At 48.7% G+C, this 19,273-nt stretch overlaps 2 long non-coding RNA genes across 2 annotated transcripts in view, besides 3 other annotated features; one reads left to right on the top strand and one right to left on the bottom strand.

Moving 5' to 3' along the window:
• Window positions 1–19,273, bottom strand: part of TESC-AS1 (TESC antisense RNA 1) — a 42,023-nt gene that overhangs the window by 20,246 nt on the left and 2,504 nt on the right. The window lies entirely within an intron of this gene.
• On the top strand, window positions 207–15,340 carry LOC105370010 (uncharacterized). Its single transcript, XR_945398.3, has 4 exons — window positions 207–394; window positions 9,191–9,427; window positions 10,589–10,696; window positions 14,051–15,340. It is a non-coding gene; the product is annotated as an uncharacterized LOC105370010 (long non-coding RNA).
• Window positions 2,157–2,751: an enhancer, noted in NCBI's record as "H3K4me1 hESC enhancer chr12:117556298-117556892 (GRCh37/hg19 assembly coordinates)". NCBI's record gives its function as "activates a minimal SCP1, AML or CMV promoter by ChIP-STARR-seq in naive H9 embryonic stem cells {active_cell/tissue: H9 hESC(naive)}" and the evidence as "EXISTENCE:reporter gene assay evidence [ECO:0000049][PMID:30033119]".
• Window positions 15,194–15,333: an enhancer, noted in NCBI's record as "active region_7102". NCBI's record gives its function as "activates an Ori minimal core promoter by ATAC-STARR-seq in GM12878 lymphoblastoid cells {active_cell/tissue: GM12878}" and the evidence as "EXISTENCE:reporter gene assay evidence [ECO:0000049][PMID:35858748]".
• Window positions 18,197–18,696: an enhancer, noted in NCBI's record as "H3K4me1 hESC enhancer chr12:117540353-117540852 (GRCh37/hg19 assembly coordinates)". NCBI's record gives its function as "activates a minimal SCP1, AML or CMV promoter by ChIP-STARR-seq in naive H9 embryonic stem cells {active_cell/tissue: H9 hESC(naive)}" and the evidence as "EXISTENCE:reporter gene assay evidence [ECO:0000049][PMID:30033119]".

Raw genomic sequence — 19,273 nt, 5'->3', positions numbered from 1 at the left:
ATATTTTTAGTAGAGACGGGGTTTCACCATGTTAGCCAGGCTGGTCTCGAACTCCTGACCTCAAGTGATCCACCTGCCTTGGTCTCCCAAAGTGCCGGGATTATAGGCGTGAGCCACCGCGCCCAGCCTCCCCTGCCTTCTGAGCAGGATGCACCCCTCTGTCGATTGCATCACATTGGAGCTCCTCCTCTTACATTGTCTGGTAGGGGCCTGGCAAGGAAGTGTTAACACGAGAAATGGAGATCTCCTATTCCTGACTCCCTCCTGGAACCAGCACGTCACTCCAGGCCCCCAGAGGCATTGGCCCTCCTGTGAATTCAACCAAGCGTGGTGTCCCATAGCAAATATGGAAAACGCCTGGAAAAAGCCACCAGATGGTGCTTCTCCATGCCAAGTGAGTGGCTCCACAATGACTAGGGGTGGGTGGGTGGTGAGGGGGAGGAGAAGAAACATCAGGTTCAGCAGTTACCCTGCTGGAACACCTGCTCGGGGAGGACATCAGAAGAACCTCAACGTCCATCAGTGGGGTAAGGGGACATTTATGCACATAAACAACCAGCTCAAGTCACCAGGGAATCTGTGCCAAAGATGAAGTTTTGAGAAGTCCCCAAGGTGACCTGGAGGGAGACGTGAGCGACCGCAGCCCTGGCACATCTTGGAGAGGTCAGCTGGTCTTGGAGGGGGCCTGCCTTATCCAGGAAGCTGATGGGACTCACCCCAATGTGGCCAGAGAAAAAAATGGGAGAGGGTGCCTTTATAAAAGCTCACGTCCTTTTTTTTTTTTTTTTTTTTTTTTGAGACAGAGTCTCGCTGTGTCGCCCAGGCTGGAGTGCAGTGGTGCGATCTCAGCTCACTGCAGCCCCTGCCTCTCGGGTTCAGCTATTCTCATGCCCCAGCCTCCCGAATAGCTGGGATTACAAGCACAGGGTACCACACCCAGCTACATTTTGTATTTTTAGTAGAGACAGGGTCTCTATGTTGCCTAGGCTGGTCTCGAACTCCTGGCCTCAAGTGATCCACTTGTGTCTGCCTCCCAAAGTGCTGGGATTACAGGTGTGAGCCACTGCGGCTGGCCTAAAAGCTCATGTCCTTTAATTGTCATACTACTCTACAGGGTAGATGCTGTTACTATAAACCCATTTTATTGATGAAGAAACTGAGGCTCAGTGAGGGGGCACTGAGCTGCCCAAGGTCTCAAGATGTTGGAGGAGGATGGTGGAGGAGGGTGGCTCCCCCAGCAGTGTCCAGGGAGTGATTTTCCTGCTGGTCACAGGTTCCCACAGGTGAGAAGCCCCGCTAGTCTTGATTGTGCCTGATCCCTCCTCATGCTCTAGGGGGCAGCAGAGTTTTATAATTTACCGTGAGATTCCCAGTGGAATAGACTAGGGTTCAAGTCCTGCTTTGGCTACCAACAGGGCGGGTGAATGAGGCCAGTCATTTAACCTGAGGGCAGGAGTCTCTGTTTCCTGTGGATAAAATGGAGATAAAGGTCTCTCCTGGACAAGTGCTTCCTAAGGACATCAGTAGCAACAGTAAGATAGTGGCAGACACCCAGGCGGCTGCTGGCTTGTGCTGTTCTAAGCACTTGGTGTGTTTCAGTTCTTTTCTTCTTTGCTACAGCCCAGGGCTGTCGCAACTCTCATTGCCCTGGTTTTGTAGATGCAGTCAAAGAGGCAAGGAGAAGCAAAGCGACTTTCCCAAGCTCACACAGGAAGTGGCAGAGCCAGGATTTGAATCCAGGTCGTCCAGCTGCTCTGGAACTGCCTGTGAAACTGCTTGGCACTTAGCGCACAGCTGGGCCAGCAGCACCCATGGATGGAAGCGTCCGTTCCTGAGATCATAACATTTACAGGGCTCCCCGGGAGCGAGGTGTGCCTACCACTGAGGCCCTTGGAACATCTTGCATAAAAGAAAGAAGTTCTTAGCCAGCAGCCCTGCACACTACCAGTTTCTAAGTTATTTATAAAGAGCTTGTTGAAGTCGAGAGACTTCTAACAGGCGGAGGTGTGTTCTTGAGACTAAGAATAGTGGCTGAGGCCTGACAGGAGGCGCTTTCTGGTGACATCAGAGCATCCCAGCCTTGCTTCCAGCCAGCAGCAGCAGCAGCTTGGAGGGAGTGTGAGTTTTCTCCTGGCTCAGCCACAGCTGCCGGTTCACCCCGGTTCACTGAGGTGGCCCACCCTGGTTCCTCCAGAGAGGGCGGCACTCAGCCTGGACGCTGAGGCAGGCGTGGGACAGGGATGGGTGACCCCCAACGAGCAGGCTTTAGCTGGAGTCTAGAGGTCTCTAATCTGCCACTTCCACCTCCCACTATTTGCTGAAGGGTGGCCATCTGGCCTTAACAATAGGATGGGGACAAAGAGCAGAGGCCCACAGGGGAGGGGCTGCGAAGTCCCTGAGCGGCCCTTGGATTTAGATCCCTTTCCCAGCAGTGGGGGGCAGAGTATTTTGCCATCCTGCTCACCCCAACCTCACCATCACCTGGGGGTTTCTAACAGGTACTGACCCCAGAGTCCCCAACCCTTCCTGCGACACCAGAGGCTCCAGGGGAATGTTATGCACATCACAGTTTTAGAACTCTAGAACTCTTTGTTTTTTTTTTTTAGATGAAGTTTCACTCTTGACGCCCAGGCTGGAGTGCAGTGGTGCGATCTCGGCTCATTGCAACCTCCTCCTCCTGGGTTCAAGTGATTCCCCTGCCTCAGCCTACTGAGTAGCTGGGATTACAGGCATGTGCCACCACATCCAGCTAATTGTATTTTTAGCAGAGACTGGGTTTCACCATGTTGGCCAGGCTAGTCTCAAACTCCTGACCTCAGGTGATCCATGTGCCTCGGCCTCCCAAAGTGCTGGAATTACAGGCGTGAGCCACCGCGCCTGGCCTAGAACTCTTGTAATCTACAAGAAGGAGAATTTCAACCCAGAACTTGCCCAAAATCCCAACAGGTGACCACTGGCTTTTTTCTGGACTGGAAATAAATTATGGGGATAGAGGGCAAAGATTAAGTCAAGCCAAGGTTAAATCGTGGTCCCTACCAGGAGCTGTGAGCTTTTAGTGGAGATATTAGAGAGATGTGGGGTGGGGGGTGAGGGAAGAAGGAAAGGGTAACAGTTTAAATGGGTAACTTAAAACGCTGTTTCAAATTTGTATAGCCATTGTGGAAAACAGTGTGGAGGTTCCTCAAAAAATTAAAAATAGAACTATCATAGGATCCAGCAATTCCACTTCTGGGCATCTACCCAAAGGAAATGAAATCAGTTTCTTGAATGGATAGCTACACTTCCATGTTGATTGCAACATCATTCATAGTAGCCAAGATAAACAACCTAAGTGTCCATCGACAGATGAATGGATAAAGAAAATGTGAAACGCACACATAGGAATATTATTCAGCCTTCAAAAAGAGGGAGATCCTTGGCCAGGTACAGTGGTCATGCCTGTAATCCCAGCACTTTGGGAGGCTGAGGCAGGTGGATCACCTGTGGTCAGGAGTTTGAGACCAGCCTGGCCAACATGGCAAAACCCCATCTCTACTAAAAATACAAAAATTAGCTGGGCATAGTGGCGCATGCCTGTAGTCCCAGCTACTCGGAAGGCTGAGGCAGGAGAATTGCTTGAACCTGGGAGGCGGAGGTGGCAGTGAGCCGAGATTGTGCCACTGCAGCCTGGGGGGCAGAGCGAGACTCTGTCTCCAAAAAAAAAAAAAAAAAAAAAAAAAGAGGGAGATCCTGCCATTTTCAAAACTGTGGCTGAACCTGGAGGATATTTTTCTAACTGAAATCAGGCAGACATAGAAACACAAACACTGCATTACCTCACTTATGTGTGGAATCTAAGCAAGTCCAACTCATAGAAGCAGACAGTAGAATGTTGGTTACCAGGGGCTGGGGCAGGGGGAGAGGAGAGATATTGGTCAAAGGATACAAACCTTCAGCATAATATGAATAAGTGCTAGAGACCTAGTGATCACAGTAGCATGGCGGAGGTGTGTTCTTGAGACTAAGAATAGTGGCTGAGGCCTGTATTAGTGACTGTAATTAGTAATAATGTACACCTGAAATATGCTAAGAGACTAGATCTCAAGTGTTCTTACCACACACACAAATAGCATATAAGGGGATAGATACGTGAATTATCTTGAAATGGATATATTAATGGATATGTTAATTATCATAGAAATAATTATCTATTATAATCATTTCACTTATAGACATATATTTAAATATCACAATATACACCCTAAATATATGCAATTTTTGTCAATTATAAATCAATAAAACTGGAAAAATAAATGTCATATAAAGTCAATAAAAAATACGCGTTTAGGCCAGGCCCGGTTGCTCATGCCTGTAATCCCAATGTTTTGGGAGGCCAAGGCAGGAGGATTGCTTGAGGCCTGGAGTTCGAGACCAGCCTGGGCAATAAGGCTAGACCCCATCTCTATAAAACATGAAAAAAAAACAACTGGGCAATGTGGTGCGGGCCTGTTGTCCCAGCTATTCAGGAGGCTGAGGTGGGAAGATCACTTGAACCTGGGAGGTGGAGACTGCAGTGAGACACGATGGCACCACTGCACTCCAGCCTGGGCAACAGAGGGAGACCCTGTCTCTTAAAAAACTACAAAAATACTGTTTCAGATTATTACTTGCCATAGGCAGGCTCTTATGCACAGTACATTCCTGGGCATTTGACCATCCATAGTACACATAATTTCCTGTACCTGGTTAGGCACATAAAGCTCTGAGTGCCATACTCTGTGGTCACCATAGGAGATTTTCAAGAGGTGTCATGGCTGCCCATGATTTTGACATTGCACCCTGGCTCCACTAAACTTTGCTCCATGAGCCTCAGTTTCCCTCTTTCTGCAGTGGGGTTTTACCTTCTTACACCACATAGAAGCTTGATAAGTCATTTTTTTTTCTTTAGACACGGTCTTGCTCTGTTGCCCAGGCTGGAGTGCAGTGGGACCATCACGGCTCACTGCAGCCTTGACCTCCCAGGTTAAGCGATCCTCCCACCTCAGCCTCTTGAATAGCTGGGACTACAGGCCCACATCACCTTGCCCAGCTATTTTTTTTTTTTTGTAGACATGGAGGTCTTGCTATGTTACCCAGGCTGGTCTCGAACTCCTGGTCTCAAGCAGTCCTCCCAAAGTGCTGGGATTCCAGGTGTGAGCACCGCATCTGTGGATAGGTCATCTTTTAAAAATTCATCACAGCTGACTTTCAGAGAGCCCAGTACGCTTACTCACATGCATTGTGACAAGAGGACAAGAGGAGATTCGTCTTTTATCTTCTTTAAAGAAAGGAAGCACAGGCCAGGTGTGGTGGCTCACATCTGTAATCCCAGCACTTTGGGAGGCTGAGGCGGGCAGATCACTTGAGGTCAGGAGTTCGAGACCAGCCTGGCAAACATGGTGAAACCCCGTCTCTACTAAAAATACAAAAAATTAGCTGGATGTGGTGGCACACGCCTGTAGTCCCAGCTACTTGGGAGGCTGAGGCAGGAGGATCACTTGAGCTCGGGGAGGTGGAGGGCGCAGTGAGCTGAGATTACACCATTGCACTCCTGCCTGGGTGACAGAGTGAGACTCCATCTCAAAAAATAATAATGAAATAAAATAAAAATAAAGGGCTGGGCACGGTGGCTCACACCTGTAATCCCAGCAGTTCGGGAGGCCAAGGCAGGTGGATCACCTGAAGTCAGGAGTTGGAGACCAGCCTGGCCAATGTGGTGAAACCCTGTCTCTACTAAAAATACAAAAAAATTAGCTGGGCATGGTGGCGTGTGCCTTTACTCCCAGCTATTTGGGAGGCTGAGGCAGAAGAATCGCTTGAACCCGGGAGGTGGAGGTTGCAGTGAGCCGAGATTGTGCCACTGCACTCCAGCCTGGGCAACAAGAGTGAAACTACATCTAAAATAGTAATGAATAAATACATAAATAAATACATAAATAAATAAAGGAAGTGCTACAGAGAAGTGACTTGCCCAGGGCCACGCTGCATTCACCAAAATTCCTAAGGTTTCCTTTACCAGTGTTGTCCCAAAGAACAGCTCCAGACTGATTTACTGAGGAAAGGAAACGTTTCTTCCCTGTGAGGCCCTAAATGCAACCTGAGTTGAAAGAGGCAGAGATGGGCAAGCGACAGGCAGCCTCGGAGGAGCCGTTGTGCAGGTGCCACCTGTGAGCTGCTCCTGGCTAATGCACCACTCTCGTCCCTGGGTTATGGGGGTTAATGAGCTACGGCTTCAGCGCAGCTGCCAAGTGCCTAATCTCAGCCCAAGGTCACACACCAGGACTCTCCGAGAACACACTATCGCACATACACACTCAGACACACACCATGCCAGGTGGTGCAGAATCACACCACTGGGTTGATTCGATTTGTGATTCTCTACCCTGTATATACCCTTTACAGACACCACCACCTGGGCCCCTACTACCCCCCCAAAGATTCTAATTTCATCTGCCTGGGATTAGAGCTCTCCAGGTTGGTCTCTTTTGCAGCTGGGGTAGAGACAATGGTCTGTTGTCAAACTTGACAGCATTTTGGAATCACCTGGGGGATTTAAAAACAGCACTGGCTAGGTGTGGTGGCTCCCTCCTGTAATCCCAGCACTTTGGGAGGCCGAGGCAGGTGGATCACTTGAGGTCAGGAGTTCGAGACCAGCCTGGCCAACATGGTGAAACCCTGCCTCTATTAAAAATACAAAAAAAAAAAAAAAAATTAGCTGGGCATGGTGGCGCACACCTGTAATCCCAGCTACTTAGGAGGCTGAGGCAGGAGAATCACTTGAGCCCAGGAGACAGAGGTTGCAGTAAGCCAAGATCATGCCACTACACTCCAGCCTGGGCGACAGAGTAAAACTCCATCTCAAAAAAAAAAATTTTTAAACATTAAAAAATAATAATAAAAATAAAAACAGTACTGATGCTGCCCTTCCCACCCCTCAGCCTTCATTCACATGGGGTCTGGGTGTGGCCTGAGCATCAGGCGTTCTACATACTCCCCAGGTGGTTCTAATGTGAGGCCAGGTTCAAGAACGGCCGCTCTGGTTCATTCTGCACCTGGGCTCTCTCCGTACCGCAGTAGACAGAGGGCTCTCACTCCTGAGTCCTCCAGAAAGAGACTTTAGCTTCATGTTGCTGCTTCTAAACATATATGCATCTCGAGAAAACTCTATTGTCCTTGACTTCTGAATGTCAAGGCTGATCCAAAGCCATGGGCCTTCTGTCTGCGTCCTCCTGGATAGGAAATGAAGCCTCAGTGTGAGTGGCGTGAAGGTATCCCCCGTTCCACCATGCTCTGTGGACAGAGACAGAGGGAAAGGGAACTTTGCAGTAATCCCATCTGTCCTCAGTTCTGCCCCTGCACCTCTGACTGAGGTCCTGGGAAGGATGCCTCCTGTAGGCGCCCCTGCTCCTGGGACCCTCCCCACCTCCTGCTGACCTACCCACAGGGGTGCCTAAGTGCTGAGTTCATGCGTATCCACACCCACCTTCCTCCACCTAGAAATGGACAGGCCCACTCTTCACCCTGTGATATCTGTGGCTGGGGTTGAGCCCCAGGCTTCATAAATATTCAGGCCTGTCTATGCTTCTTCCTTCTGAGGGGCTGGGACCTGCCCCCAGGAGACAGGCACCAAATTGTCCTCCCCATCTCCTGCAGCACACAACCTGAGAACAACTAATCTCTGCGGACTTTCTGCCCCATGCACGTCAGCTTGTGCAGGGAGCCTCCTGAGAGGCCATCATTCCCCACTGAGTCCCGGCCAGGCCCAGCAACTGCACCTGGAGCAGCAGGCCCCGAGCCGGCCAATGACCAGAGTCACACTCGTCTGTTACTGCGCACCTTCCATATGGCAGCACTTCATGTAAAATCTGTGTGCCCATTTCACGGGCCATAGACGGGAACCAAGGATTGGAGGGGTGAAGTCACTTGCCTAAGGCCAAAGACAGGACTTGACCCCAGAGCTGTCCAGGTCTCTAGAGCAGGGGCTCTCAGATTTGAATGTACAGAGGAGCCAGCTCAGTAGTTCTCTCTCAACAGGTTCCAGGAACCAGCCCTTTTTTTTTTTTTTTGAGATGCAGTTTTGCTCTTCGCCCAGGCTGGAGTGCAGTGGCGTGATCTCGGCTCACGGCAACCTCTGCCTCCTGGGTTCAGGTGATTCTCCTGCCTCAGCCTCCCAAGTAGCTGAGATTACAGGTGCCCACCACCATGCCCAACTAATTTTTGTATTTTTAATAGAGACGGGTTTTCACCATGTTCCCCAGGCTGGTCTTGAACTCCTGACCTCAGGTAATCTGCCTGCCTCGGCCTCCTAAACTGCTGGGATTAAAGGCCTGAGCCACCACGCCCAGACAGGAACCTGCCTTTTCATACCAGAATGCTGGAGAACCTGACCGAATCCACCCTTGCAGAGTCCCCCTGTGCCCCTGTCTGAGTCTCAGGACCTGATCTAGATCCAGCCAGTTATATCCTTGATGGGTGACCACTATGAGCTTCTGTTTCTTCCTCTGTGAAAATGAGGGTGTGTGCCAGGCATGATGGGTCACGTCCATAATCCCAGCGCTTTGCCAAGGTGGGTGGATCCCCTGAGGTCAGGAGTTTGAGACCTGCATGGCTAACATGGTGAAACCCCATCTCTACTAAAAATACAAAAATTAGCCAGGCATGGTGGTGCACGTCTGCAATCCCAGCTACTTGGGAGGCTGAAGCCAGAGAATTGCTTGAACCTGGGAGGCGGAAGTTGCCGTGAGCTGAGATCCCACCACTGCAGTCCAGTCTGGGTGACACAGTGAGATTCTGTCAAAAAAAAAAAAAAAAGGAAGGGAAACGAGAGGGTAGAACTAGCCAATTACAAGGGGCTTGTCAGCCCTGCCTTGAGTTCCCCGGCTTCAGTAGAAGTTCAGCTGTTCAGCTCCTATGGAAAGGAGGGAGGGAGGGAGAACTTCTCTCCAGATTTTCTCCCCTAGAAGGGTCCTATATCAGGTCAAAACAACAAACCTGGTGCAGGACTTTCACCCGCCTGTGCAGGCAGCTGGGACCCAGAAACCCTCAAAGCATTTTTCTCCCCTACCCACTAACCACATGGTCTCCTTGGCACAGATGAAGCTTCTACTTAAAGGGCAGCTGGGAAGCCTCCCGCCTTTTGTTCACATCCCACTCCTTGTTTTCCTGCATGAAGGTAAGAAGCCAGGTGTGGTTCCCGTGTCTGCTCTCCGCAGCCCTCCTGGGAGGGTTTGAAGAGACAGCTGAGAGCGGCCAGCTGGGAAGAGCACGCTTGCCTTGTCAGCGGAGAGTAGGTTCTGAGCTCTGCTGAGTCAGCGTGGCCAGGCAGGGCTGGGGGGCCTCAGGGCTCCAGGCCCCACCTCTTACCTCTACAGTCTCCCACCCCGGCTGCCTGCCCCAGCCGGTCAAAATGGTAGGTGCCTGCTGCCTGCTTTCCCAAGTAAGCCCCAAATTATCAACTGCACCAACTGTGAACCCCAACATATATTTATCATCCCTGCCTCCCAGGCACTCAGCCGGGTCTCATTGGTTATTGCAGTCATCCCAGGAGGGAAGTGGGGGAGGGAGGAGATGGCTGGGGCTGGGCCTCCCTGGATGGGGAGGTGCCGGGGTGAATGAGGTGCTGAGATTGGCTCACAGCTCCACAGCCAGCTGCATCGCCCCGTGGGGCAGCTCATGGTCCCCCAAAGGTGGCCAACTCAGCATTCAGTTCCAGCTCTGTCACTTACTAGCACACTGGAGGTGTGGGCCTGCCTGGAGGCCAGACAGCCGAGGGGACAGCTAAGTCATAGCTTTTCCTCCCGGTCTGTGCCCTTTTGTGGTCACAGAGGTGGCCCTTTGGGAAGGATCCCCCTCCTTCCACCTGAGTGTGGAGTCTGTTCCTGCAGGTATCCAGGGACAGTGAGGCCATGAGAAGCTAGCACCTTAGTCCAAGGGGGCTCTTAACTGTCCCTTTCCCGGTGCAGTCCTTGTTTGTTTTTTGAGACAGAGTCTCACTCTGTTGCCCAGGCTGGAGTGCAGTGTCGTGACCTTGGCTTACTGCAACCTCTGCCTCCTGGGTTGGGCCAATTCTTCTGCCTCAGCCTCCCAAGTAGCTGGGATTACAGGTGTGCACCACCACTCCTGGCTAATTTTCGTATTTTTAGTAGAGACAGGGTTTTGCCATGTTGGCCAGGCTGGTCTTGAACTCCTGACCTCAAGTGATCCACCCACCTCAACCTCCCACAGTGCTGGGATTACAGGCGTGAGCCACCGCACCCGGCCAATCCTTGTTAAAATGCAGGTTCCTGGGCCCCCTTTTACACAAGGAATCCTATGGCACAAAACCATTTGAGAACCAGTGTGGCAGCCTGGGGTCGCTTTGCCAAGCCTCAGTTCCTTGTGCTCATAACAGAGATGTGAAGAATGCACATTCTGTAGTGTTGTCTTAGGAGGCAGCAAGGTTTATAGAATCTAGAAAGTGCTTAGTACTCTGCAAAGGGGAATTCCTTGGTCATTACTGGAAGCTAAATTGTGGCCATCTGATTCAGCAGATGGAAGAAATGGATTTTGCATTTTCTTCCTGTTTTGCCAGCCAGGTAACCCCCGGTGGAGATAGGCACCTGTGAGAAGTATCACTGCTTCGTGGGTCAGGGGCTTGGACCCACCAGGGCTGTGTCACCTGCGGACCATGTGAACTCAAGTAAGTGATTTGAGCTTCTGTGAGTCTCTGTTTCTACATTGGCAACACAGTGTGATTAATTGCCCAAGCCTCTGTCTTTGGCCATGACAGTTACATGAGATACTTTGAGGGAAGCTGTACAGTTACTGGCACGTATAGAACTTCCTCATCCAGTGATTCCCTGTACTCACTCCCCTTGTCCCTGCTCTGAAAGTGATGCATACAGAAAGGAGAATGACTCCCCAGCCACTGTGTCCATGGGTGTCAAAATGAGGTTGTCACAGGGATTCAAACAGACCCTTGTACTCTAGTGTTCACAGCAGCACTATTCATAAGAGCCAAAAGGTGAAATCAACCCAAGTGTTCATCAACCCGTGAATGGATAAACAAAATGTGGTTTATCTGTGGAATATTACTTAGTCATGAAAAGGAATGAAGCATTGACAGGTGCTACAACGTGGATGAACCTTGAAGACCTTATGCTGAGTGAAAGAAGCCAGACACAGACGGCCACATATCATATGATTCCGTTTATATGTGATGTCCAGAATAGGCAAATCCACAGAGACAGAAGAGATTAGTGGTTGCCAGAACCCGGAGAGGATGGGGGAATTGAGGGGTGACAGGGAGTATGGGGTTTCTTTTGGGGCTGACAAAAATGTTCTAAAATTGATTGTAGTGATGGCTGCACAACTCTGAAGATATGAAAAATCATTGAATTGTGCACTTTAAATGGAGGCGTCGTATGTGGATGATATCTCAAAGCCATTACAAAACACACAAGACCATCTCCATCAAAATCACCTGGAGTTCTCATTTAAAATGCACTCCTGGCTGGGCACAGTGACTCACGCCTGTAATCCTAACATTTTGGGAGGCCAAAGCAGGAGGATTGCTTGAGCCCAGGAGTTTAAGCAGCCTGGGCAGCATAGTGAGCTTTCGTCTCTACACATAATTAAAAAACTAGCCAGACGTGGTGGTGCGCTTCTAGTCCTAGTTGTTCAGGAGGTTGGGGATGCAGTGAGCCATGTTTGTACCACCGCACTCCAGCCTGGGCAACAGAGTGAGATCTCATCTTAAAAAAGCCGGGCTCGGTGGCTCACACCTGTAATACTAGCACTTTGAGATGAGAGGCCACGGCAGGCGGATCACCTGAGGTCAGGGGTTTGAATCCAGCCTGGAAAACATGGAGAAACCCTGTCTCTACTAAAAATACAGGCACATGGTGGCGCGCGCCTGTAATCTCAGCTACTCAGGAGGCTGAGGCAGGAGAATCGTTTGAACCTGGGAGGTGGAGGTTGCAGTGAGCTGAGATCACACCATCCTGGGCAACAGAGTGAGACTCCGTCTCAAAAAAAATAAAAGCATTCCTGTAATGGGTCCAGAATTACAGTTTGATAGAAGCAATAAGTTCTAGTATTTGATAGTAGGGAATCTGATAGTAAGTAGGGAATTATAGTTAACAGTAATTTATATTTCAAAATAGCTAGAAGAGAAAAATTGTTCCCAGTACAAAGAAAAAATGAGGTGACGCACATCCCAATTAACTTGATTGATCATGACACATTGTATACATATATCAAAATATCACAAGCCCCCAAAATATTTGCTACTATGATATATCAATAAAAATACAAGAAGTAAAAAATGCATTCCTGGGCCTCCTGAGATAGAACACCTGGACCTGAGAATCTGAATTTAAATAAGAACCAAGGTGATTGTATGCACACAGAACTTAAATCATCCTTTTAGGGTTGGGCCAATGGCTCATGCCTGTAATCCCAGTACTTTGGGAGGCTGAGGCAGACTGCTTGAGACCAGGAGTTCAAAACCAGCCTGGGTAACATAGCGAGGCCCTGTCTCTACAAAATATTTAAAACTTAGCCAGGCTTGGTGGTGTGTGCCTGTAATCCCAGCTACTCAGGAGGCTGGGGCAGGAGGATCGCTTGAGCCCAGGAGTTTGAGGCTGCAGAGAGCTGTGATCATGCCACTGCACTCCAGCCAGGGCAACAGAGCGAGACCCTGCCTCAAGAAAAAAGAAAAATCATCCCTGTAGGAAGACAGTCTGGTCAACGCTGTCTCCTTGGCACTGTATTTTTCCAAGTGCAAACCCAGCGTGTGTATTTATTTCCTGTTGCTGCTGCAACAAATTATTATACCAACTCAGTGGCTTATATAAACAAAAGCTCACGCCTGTAATCTCAGCACTTTGGGAGGCTGAGGCAGGTGGATCACCTGAGGTCAGGAGTTCAAGACCAGCCTGGGCAACATGGTGAAACCCTGCCTCTACTAAAAATACAAAAATAAGCTGGGCACGGTGCCACCTGCCTGTAATCCCAGCTACTTGGGAGGCTGAGGCAGGAGAATCGCTTGAGCCTGGGAGGCAGAGGTTGCAGTAAGCCAAGATTGCACCATTGCACTCCAGCCTGGGGAACAGCGAGATTCTGTCTCAAAAAAAAAAATGATGATCTTATGGTTCTGGAGGTCAGAAGTCCAAAATGGGTCTTGCTGGGTTAAGATCAAGGTGTCAGTGGGGCTGTGTTCCTTCCAGAGGCTCCAGAGGAGAATGTGTTTTCTTGTATTTTCCAGTTTAGAGCCCGCCTAGCTTCCTTGGTGCCCTTCCTTCATCTTCAAACAGCAATGGCCGATTGAGTCTTTCTCATATCATGTCACTCTTGGCTCTGACCCTCCTGCCTTCCTCTTTGATTTGGTTTGGTTTGGTTTTGGTTTGAGCCAGGATCTCACTCTGTCACCCAGGCTGGAGTGCAGTGGCATGATTATGGCTTACTGCAGCCTCCGCCTCCCAGACTTAGGTGATCCTCCCACCTCAGGCTCCTGAGTAGCTGGGACGACAGGCATGCAATACCAATACCCGGCTAATTGTTTTGAATTTTTTGTACGTATGGGGTTTCACCATGTTGCCCAGGTTGGTCTCGAACTTCTGGACTCAAGCCATCTGCCCTCCTCAGCCCCGCAAAGTGTTGGGATTACAGGCACGAGTCACCGAGCCCAGCCTGCCTTCCTCTTTCACATATAAAGACTCTTGTGATTATATTGGGCCCACCCAGATAATCCAGGGTAATCTCCCCCATCTCAGGGTCAGCTGATTAGCAACCTTCATTCCATCTGCTCCTTTAATTCCCTCTTGCCATGTAACCTAACATATTCACCCATTCCAGGGATTAGGACGTGGGCGTCTTTGGGGGCCACATTCTGCCTACCACACAGTCCTCTCTAATGGTGTAGGATGCCTCTCTCCAAATCACAAATGATGAATAAATAAAAGCATCTCTACCCAGGGCTGTTGCATTTCTACCTGAGAAGAGGTCCTAGCAGAGTCTTCCAAATGCTGATTATTCCTGTCTTCTTCAACAGCTCCCACCCCCCGGCCCCTGCCCAGCCTCCCCTACCAGGCTCGATGTAAAGTGATGGTGAAGTGAAAACAGATTTGGGGCCCTTGCCACCTCTTTCTGGTTGGTAACTTTGTTTCTTGGACAACAATGCAGAGTTTGAAGCCCATCCAGGGACAACATTCCATCTGCCCCCTGCAAGTTCCGGTAATTGGTCACTATTTATAATTATATAAATAATAGAAAAACAAGCTTAAGCTGCCCTCCCCAAAAACCCAGTCTCCTCCTATTTTTAGGCAGCCAGCCTGCCCTCCTGTAGGGCAGCGTCCCTCTGAGGTCTGGGCCACTCAGCTCCAGCCATGGGCTGAAGCAATGATGCTGGTGACAGCAGTGATTCTGCCACCCAGGAAGGGGCCAGGGGTGATTTTCTAACTCAAGGTTGAGTTTAAAGCTCTCAGAGAATGAAGAGAAGGAACTATTCTAAAGCCCCCTTGCTGCGATCATTCTCCCAAGACCAAATCTGATTCTGTAAGAACTGGGAGCTGGACAGAGATTCGAGTCTGAGTTTCATTGATGTGTCTCACTGGGAGTCACGGGACCGGGAGAGACGGGAGGCTAGAAGAGACAGGAGAGTCAGGCTGGCTATAAAGTCCTTGATGTCCAACTACCACCCCCCTGCCAAAAAAAAAGGAACAGACAGTTGGGAAGGGTGTGCTCTATGCCAGCCATTTCACCCTTGTTCCGACTCTTCAAAGATGGGATTGTGGGGCCTATTATACCGATGAAGACATTGAGGTTTGGAGTTGCAATATAACCAACCCAATGGTACACAGCCAGGGAGTGGGCAGAGCCAGGATTCAACTCAGATCTGAATCGATCTCCTATAGCATGCCCACGGCTATGGGGGAAGATCAGGGTGCCTCGGGAAAAAAGATTGTTCAAAAGAAAATCAAAACGATAACTTTAATTTCAAAATGCAAATTGCGGGTGAATCTCTGATCCCATTGACACGAAAACCAAGAGACCACGACATATGAAACCAGCCTAAGGAGCCTGAATGATCTTATGAGAAAAAGCGTCTGTGTCAGAGCCAAATCACTGACGCAGGCCACCTGTGCGGTCTCCCTCTCCCTGGACCTACTTTATGAGAGCTTCACCACACATTGCTTGTTTGATGTGGTTTAGGTGCGGTCTTCGCTAAGAGGCCAAGCAAGATGATGTAATCACCTGATGAGTTCCTCCTGCCCACTGCACAGACAAAACCAATTCACTGAGACGACGGCATTGCAATAAAGAAAGAGCTTAATTGACACAAGGTTGGCCACTCCTGTCTCAAATCAAATCAATCTGAAAATTTGGAGGCTAGGGTTTTTAAAGGATACTTTGGTGGGCAGGGGGCTGGGGAATGGGGGCTGCTGATTGGTTGGGGATGCAATCACAGGGTTGTGGAAATTGGTCCTTGTGCACCAAGTCCACTTCTGGGCGGGCTCCCCAGGACCGGCTGAGCCAAGAGTTGAAGGTCTGGGTGGGGCCATCCGGTCATCAGAAATGCAGGTAAAGACATCTCAAAAGGCCAATCTTAGGTTCCACAATAGTGAATTGGGACAGTTGCAAATCTTGTATCCTCTGGAATAATGGCTGGTTGTCATTTAACTATGCCTGCGTCTTAGCGAAATTTAGGCCCCTCTCATCCTCCTAACCTGGTGGCCTTTCTTTTCTTTTCATTTTTTTTTAAGAAACAGGTTCTTACTCTGTCCCCCAGGCAGGAATGCAGTGGTGTGATCGTGGCTCACTGCAGCTTAAAACTCCTGGGCTCAAGTGATCCTCCCACTTCAGCCTCCTGAGTAGCTGGGACCAAAGGCAAATGACATCATGCACTGCTAATTTTTTTTTTTTTTTTTTTTTGTAGAGGCAGGGTCTCACTAAGTTGCCCAGGCTAGTCTTGAACTCCTGGCTCAAACGATCCTCCCACCCCAGCCTCTCAAAGTGCTGGGATTACAAGCTTAAGCCACTGTGGCCGGCCACCTGGTAGCCTTTCATTAGTTTTATGAAGGCGGCTTAGTTTTGGGGAAGGGCTATTCTCATTTAAACTATAAATTAAATTTCTCCCAAAGTTAGCTCGGCTCAAGTCCAGGAATGACCAAGGGCATTTTGAAAGTTAGAGGCAAGATGAGGGTTGGTGAGATCAGATCACTCTCGGTGTCATAACTTTCTGTTATAATTTTTGCAAAGGCGGGCTCAATGGTACTTGGAGTCCCCATAAATCTCTTGGTCAGTGGCCCAAATGCTAAGACAAATGTCGTGTTACTCCTAGAACATTACCATGCCTTGGGAGTTACCCCAAGCTAAACCATTAGAAGGGGCAGGTGAATTACAGAAACTGCTATTCAGACACCTTCGAGTCTATGCTCTGATTCTGGTTTACAATCCTTTGGGAACATCTTGGTTTTTCTATCAATAAAATGCGGATGTGCTGGGTGCCTCTCCTCCGGGCCCCTGCAGTGACTGGTACCGGCTAGCATACCATGATGTTCTGTTCACATCTCTTTCCTTGCAGACTTTGGGATCCCTGAGGTCAGGGACTGTCTCCTTCACTGTAGTGTCCAAACTCCTGGCACTCAATAGTGAATGCATGAACAAATAAACGAACATATGACAGTCAACTGGGTAGTAGTTTCCTGGTCTTGACTGGCTTGCAAGAGCAAATGGTTAAATATTCAGGGATTTTAAGCTGGGCATGGTGGCGCATGCCTGTATTTGCAGCTACCTGGAAAGCTGAGGCAGGAGGATCCTCTGAGCCCAGGAGTTCGACGCTAGCCTGAGCAACATAGTGAGACCCCATATCTAAAAAAACAAAATTCAGGGATTTTGCAAGCCTATTGTTAAATTATCAGTAACTTGAAATTGACTATGGCACGAGTATTTACACACAGAAATTGGCAACTGCTACAGATTAGGACTTCTGCCCCTCCTGCCCTTTTCAGAGAACTTGTTTACCAGCTCACCACTGGCTAGCACTTACGGTGTCAGGCAGTTTTAAGCACCTTCTCTATATGAATCTGCATTTAACCCTTACAATGTTACATATATGAATCTGCATTTAACCCTCACAATCACCTTACATGTATGAATCACCTTACATATATGAATCTGCATTTAACCCTCACAATGTTACATATATGAATCTGCATTTAACCTTCACAGTCACCTTACATGTATGATCACCTTACATATATGAATCTGCATTTAACCTTCACAATCACCTTACATGTATGAATCACCTTACATATATGAATCTGCATTTAACCCTCACAATCACCTTACATGTATGAATCACCTGACATATATGAATCTGCATTTAACCTTCACAATCACCTTACATGTATGAATCACCTTACATATATGAATCTGCATTTAACCCTCACAATCACCTTACATGTATGAATCACCTTACATATATGAATCTGCATTTAACCCTCACAATCACCTTACATGTATGAATCACCTTACATATATGAATCTGTATTTAACCGTCACAATCACCTTACATGTATGAATCACCTTACATATATGAATCTGCATTTAACCCTCACAATCACCTTACATGTATGAATCACCTGACATATATGAATCTGCATTTAACCCTCACAATGTTACATATATGAATCTGCATTTAACCTTCACAGTCACCTTACATGTATGATCACCTTACATATATGAATCTGCATTTAACCTTCACAATCACCTTACATGTGTGAATCACCTTACATATATGAATCTGCATTTAACCCTCACAATCACCTTACATGTATGAATCACCTGACATATATGAATCTGCATTTAACCTTCACAATCACCTTACATGTATGAATCACCTTACATATATGAATCTGCATTTAACCCTCACAATCACCTTACATGTATGAATCACCTTACATATATGAATCTGCATTTAACCCTCACAATCACCTTACATGTATGAATCACCTTACATATATGAATCTGTATTTAACCTTCACAATCACCTTACATGTATGAATCACCTTACATATATGAATCTGCATTTAACCCTCACAATCACCTTACATGTATGAATCACCTTACATATATGAATCTGCATTTAACCTTCACAATCACCTCACATGTATGAATCACCTTACATATATGAATCTGCATTTAACCCTCACAATGTAATTGCCACTTTGCAGATGGGGAAACTGAGGATGAGAGAGGTTAACTTGCCCAAGTATGGTTTCATAGCCCTCCATGACAGGAAGGTGGGAGAGCCAAATGAAGACCATCCTGGCCATCTCTGGGCTCAGCTGCTCTTTGCGGCTTGACAGGGACCAGCTATATGAATTGCGGTCACCACTTTTAATCAGCTCCTCCAGGAGGAGGTCCTCTGGGAGAAAAGACGCAGTTGCCTGGTGACTAAAGTGTTTCCCAGTCCTCCAAAAGTCATGCTGTGTTATTGGGGGGGATAAAGCTTGCCCCCCAGCAGGGTGCCCCTCTTCCAGGGCTCTAGACAAAAAATCCAATGAGCCCTGGCCAGACCCCATGCAAAGCTGCAGACCTCATTCTTGCTTCTTGCTTTGTTGACGCCTGCAGAGCCATTGGTAGGTTTGAATGAAAGCCATGACGTCCCGGAACAGGCAGCAGCTGGCTTTGCGTGGAGGGCGCCTTGCGGTGTGCACATCATTGCCAGAGGAGGGCAGAGCCCGGGCAGATGGTGGGTGCCACTGCAGGGGCCCCCACAGAGACATCTGTCCACCAAGAATTTGGCTTTGCTGTATCCCTTCGGGACCACAGTTGGGGACAGTCCTGGACTTCCTGAAGCTCAGCTTTAGGGATGACAGAGTCTCTCCAGGGGCCCATTCTGGTTTGAACATTCCATCTCTCTGTGGGCTCCATCACGTCAGCCCTTGTTTACCCATCTGCTTTGTCACTGCCCGTGTGTCTGTCTCCTCACCCCACCAGGAGTTCTTCAGGAGCGAAGGTGGCATCTTATTCCTGGCTGTGGCTCCAGGACCTAGCAAGAGCCCTGAACATAGTAGGTGCTCAATAAATGTGCAATGAATAAATGATTGAACGAATGCATAAATTGTGCCTTGGTTTTTTCTGCCTTCGTGCTGCTCCAAGGATCTCCTGATTACTTCTCCAAGCCCTGCTATTAGGAATAAATCCTCCTCTGTCATCCTCAGCAAGACTTCCCGCCTCCCAGCTCCCTGCTGACTGGTGGTGGTGGCTT

Source organism: Homo sapiens, chromosome 12, assembly GCF_000001405.40.
Source record: "Homo sapiens chromosome 12, GRCh38.p14 Primary Assembly".
In the NCBI taxonomy this organism is placed as follows: Eukaryota; Metazoa; Chordata; class Mammalia; order Primates; family Hominidae; genus Homo; species Homo sapiens.
The sequence above is the reverse complement of the archived record's forward strand: the minus strand, read 5'-3'. Positions and strand labels throughout refer to the sequence as shown.